Genomic DNA, 4,531 nt, shown 5'->3' on the forward strand with positions numbered 1-4,531 from the left:
TTTTTCAGCTCTATTTTACACTTATGAGGCCATCAAGGTATATGTAGTCCATCATTGACTGAAATTAGGCTATGTGGCACATGATTGTAATAGCTAATGTTTATTCAGCACTTAGTATGTATGTTAGTTTTACATAACTGCTTTATATCTATCACTGCAATTAAACCTCAAAATTTCTTTATCATGTAGCTACCATAAGCACACCTTGAACTTTAATGTGCATATACATCTCCTGGGGATCTGGTGAAAATTCAGATTGAGATTCAGAAAGTCTGAGGTGGAGGCTGAGATTCTACACTATTAATAAATACTTTAGTGATGCTGGTGACACCAGCTGCACCCACACTATGTGTGGCAAGGAGCCTGTTATGTTTTATCATTTTATTAATTAAAAAACTAAGGCACAGAAAGGCTCTATTATATGCCCAAATTTACACAGCTACATGAGTGGTAGAGTCAGAATTTTAACTCAGTCTACGTGGCTTCTGGACCAACAATGAGTAGGTTTATCTAGACTGAAAATAGAACAAAAACATTCTTGGCCATGAAATTAGTATAATCGAAATAATGACATGACAATGTTCAACAAATGTGGTGTTCTAGATATAGGCTAGTTTGACTGGAGAGCAAAGAAACAGAAGAAAGAAACTACGTACTATGAGTAGGTTTGCATAAATATAGCGAGTGTCTCAGATTCTTTCACTAGAGGGCTTCACCATCACCTACCTTCTGAACCTGTGTTATTTCAGCTTTTGCTGAGAACATCAGCCTTGTTCTCTTTCCAAGAGCCTGTATCCTAGGGAGATTTGGCCTTTGAAGTAGACTCATTTAAATACTTACTGTCCCTCTTCTTCCTTCTCAGGACAGAAAGTTGAAAAACAGAGGGCTAGTCTCTGTCACATTTCACATTCTGGCATAATTTCATCAGCAGGCAGTTGTCCACTGGGTTATGAATTAGATTTTCCTCAGAGTGAGGAGAAGGCAGGCACTGTGGTGTTGGGATTGCTCAGAATGTCCAACCTATCTATGGTTAGCTATTCAGCATCAGACCAGGTGGTGCACTAAGGTTGTAGCGCAAGAGTGGACTTAATGTCAGAGGTTACAGAGCCCTTGTCTAGTCTGTCATATGACAGTAATCCTAGCCACTGCTTACCAAGCACCAACAGTGTGTTAGTTTCTCTGCTACACACTTTACACACATTATCTGTTATCCTCCAAACAAATTCTACAAATTAGATTTGTTGTCTATATTTGCTGAGGATAAAACTGAAGGCATGAGGAACTCAATTCCTGGTCCAGGGTCACAGAGCTAGTGAGAATCAGAGCTGGAATACAAATCACATTTGCCTGGCTCCAAAGCCCCTATTCTTACCACCAACCCTATCTTGCTACTTTTATTCCTTACCCTGTCCATGAATACATGGCTTAGAAGAAGCCCTTCAATGTAAATTCCCCCAGCATGTGATTATACAGGGAAAGATTTATTTCTCCACTGCCTATAGACTGCACTTAATGCTCTCGCTTTTCTGGACTGCAAATGCTACCATTTAGGAGAAGAGATCATCAATATTTCACCAAATGCTGTTAACATGTTTGAACTTGCTTTAGAGGAGCCAATTCAAGGATTCATTATCACAAACAAATGGAAACAAATTAGAGGGCTGGCAGTGTCTGATGGGAAAAAGTCAGTTTTGACAAGCAGTCCTCAGAATCCAAGGTCTGAAGGGCACTCCGATCCTTGCATGGAGCCCATGCAAAGTCTGCAGAGGAAAATCACACCATTTTAGCACTGTCTTAGCTGTGAGTAAAGTTACTAAAGCTTAATCTACAAGTTCAGACTTTGAGGATTGTCAGTATCCTCCCAGAGCAACCTGGTAAGTAATACTCATCATATTAACAAGTTACTTACTTTTAAGTGAATTTATTGTTTTTTCTGGTTCATGAAACCTAGTAAGAAAGCCATGTGAAAAGCAAATATTTAGGGAAGATTATGAGAGACCAGAAAACAAAGCACTATGGTTTCTATTTAAACAACTACAATTTAGCTGTTACTAAATAATCCCTTCAGACCTTAGCAGATGCTTTAGGAAGTATTTTAGATAATTTATTTCATTTTATTATCATAAGAACTTTAAGAAGTATATGTCAGCTTCATTTCTAAAAGGATGGGCACAGTCCTTTGTCTGAAATTACACAATGAGTGAAGGGTTTAATCCTCTTTTTTTTTTTTTTTTTTTGAGATGGAGTTTCACTCTTGTTGCCCAGGCTGGAGTGCAATGATGCAATCTCGGCTCACTGCAACCTCCGCCTCCTGGATTCAAGTGATTCTCCTGTCTCAGCCTCCTGAGCAGCTGGGATTACAGGCACCTGCAACTACACCTGACTAATTTTTGGTATTTTTAGTAGAAAAAGGGTTTCACCATGTTGGCCAGGCTGGCCTCAAACGCCTGACCTCAGGTGGTCCGCCTGCCTCGGCCTCCCAAAGTGCTGGGGTTACAGGCGTGAGCCACCGTGCCCGGCCGAGGGGTTTTATTCTAACCAAGATCTGCCTGTCTCAAGGATCCAGAGACTCTTCCACTGCTCCCAAGTTGCCTCCCACATCTAGAAGAGACCAAGTTAGAAGCTTACTTACTGTCAAGAACATATACCAAAAAAAAGTATTTCTTCTGGCAGAAAATACTCCAAGGAAACAAGAAAATAAATATTTTAACACAATTAGACCTGCAGTAATGTTTACAGACTGAAAAGCTTGTGAGGACAAGACAAGCTGTCCTATAAAACTAAGTTATTTAACCATTCCTATGGTAAGAGACAAATATTTTTAAAAATTAATAGCCAGTAGAGAACTGTTTAAAAGTACTCTGATTTCAGTGAAAACGCAAGTCTTTTCATCATGTTGGGTTATCTGTGCCCATGGCAGCTTTGCCATAGCAGAGCCTGCCCAGTGTTAAGAGAGAAGACCAAAGGCCTTAGAAAGTATGGCAGTTTTAATCACAGAAAATCTCTTTGTTGAATAATCACAAGTCATTTGATTAAGTGCTCTCTCCCCATGACACCAGCATTTTCAAGTTGAGGTTCAGGGCTGAGTTGTCTCAACACTAATTAGTTGGAAAACAGACTGTGATTAGAGCACTTAAAAGTGATAGGAGAATAAGGCAGAAGAGGCTAGTGCTAAATTGGTTTCCTACAGAAAGGAATCTTTCTTTATGAGCCAGCTGTGATGCCCAGGGAGCTACATATCTGATCTCTTCACATAGGAAACTTGAAAGAGAAACAGATGGGAGAACCAATTAAATAGTTTACAGTAGGTTTGGCCATGGAGAGGCCACTATGACTCAATGCCAAGGCTGTCTAACCACAGTTGAGCACATTCCTCTTTATATTTTTTTCCTCCTATGTAACGCTAAGCCTAAGAACTAACAGGCATGCAGCTTTGCTAATTAACTGCATGACATTCCAGTCATTAATCAACTGATAATTAATGGTCATTGAAACACATCTTCCAGCTCCTCCTCAATATCACTATTATGGTAATAACTTCAATAAGCAAATGTGAACATGCTACTTTTCTATATAAGATTCACTAATGATACTTCATCTCCCGCGTGGTAAAATCTAAAACAACAGGCTTGGCAAAGAAGACTCTTCATGATCTTACTCTGCCTAGGTGCCTATCTTATTTTTCTACTATTCTTACACTTCAGGTGAACTCAACTCCTTATAGTTCACTGAACTTCTGTGCTTAAAATGCATTCTCCAGACTTGTCCACCTGGAAAGCTCTTGTAAAACCTTCAAATTTCAGCTTAAACACTTCTTGTCCGTATGACTTTCCCTTAGGGCCCAAAGGAGATTTAGTTTCTTATTCCCCATGGGCTCATGGAAGCTTTATAGCAATTATCATAGTGCACTGCCATTTGTATATGCTTACTTTTCTATTTCCCCTAGTCTACTGATAATTATTTGACAGCAGAGATCCGGTTTTTCATTTTAGTACAAATATGCCAGACATCTTAGCGCCTTGTGTAAAACCTGGAACAGAGGAGGTATTCAGTACATGAATAGATGAAAGGGATGTGTATCTTTGGATCCCATCTCCCATCTACTTCTCCATGTGGCCTATTTTAGGAATGACTTTTCTCATTAAATGTAGGATGTTTTATGTTTGAGTAGCAGTAGCAAGATAAGGATAAGCATGTTTCCTAAAGGAAACATCTGTTTAATGAGAAATGTCATTACCCATGCTGCAGCATTACATACTGAATACTTCACTGCAGTAAAAATATCTGCCTTTACCCTATTATCTTTAGCCATCAACCACAGGCTACCAAAACAATCTAGACTAACAGAGCCCAAAGGTACAAATAGGCTCAGATGTAGAGCAATGTGAGTAACTGACATTATTTCTGCTGCTTATATTGAAGCACAACACACATTTTCTGGATGCTTTGGCTACCTCTGTTTTCCAACTTGTTTTAAGCTTATCCTTTTCTTTCTTAGGTAGGACAAAGATTGTGGGACAAAGACATTCTC

At 39.3% G+C, this 4,531-nt stretch overlaps 1 annotated feature.

Annotated features, from left to right (window-relative positions):
* Window positions 2,795-3,396: an enhancer, noted in NCBI's record as "NANOG hESC enhancer chr2:17264922-17265523 (GRCh37/hg19 assembly coordinates)". NCBI's record gives its function as "activates a minimal SCP1, AML or CMV promoter by ChIP-STARR-seq in naive H9 embryonic stem cells {active_cell/tissue: H9 hESC(naive)}" and the evidence as "EXISTENCE:reporter gene assay evidence [ECO:0000049][PMID:30033119]".

The sequence above is a fragment of the Homo sapiens genome, chromosome 2 (genome assembly GCF_000001405.40).
Source record: "Homo sapiens chromosome 2, GRCh38.p14 Primary Assembly".
Classification (NCBI taxonomy): Eukaryota; Metazoa; Chordata; class Mammalia; order Primates; family Hominidae; genus Homo; species Homo sapiens.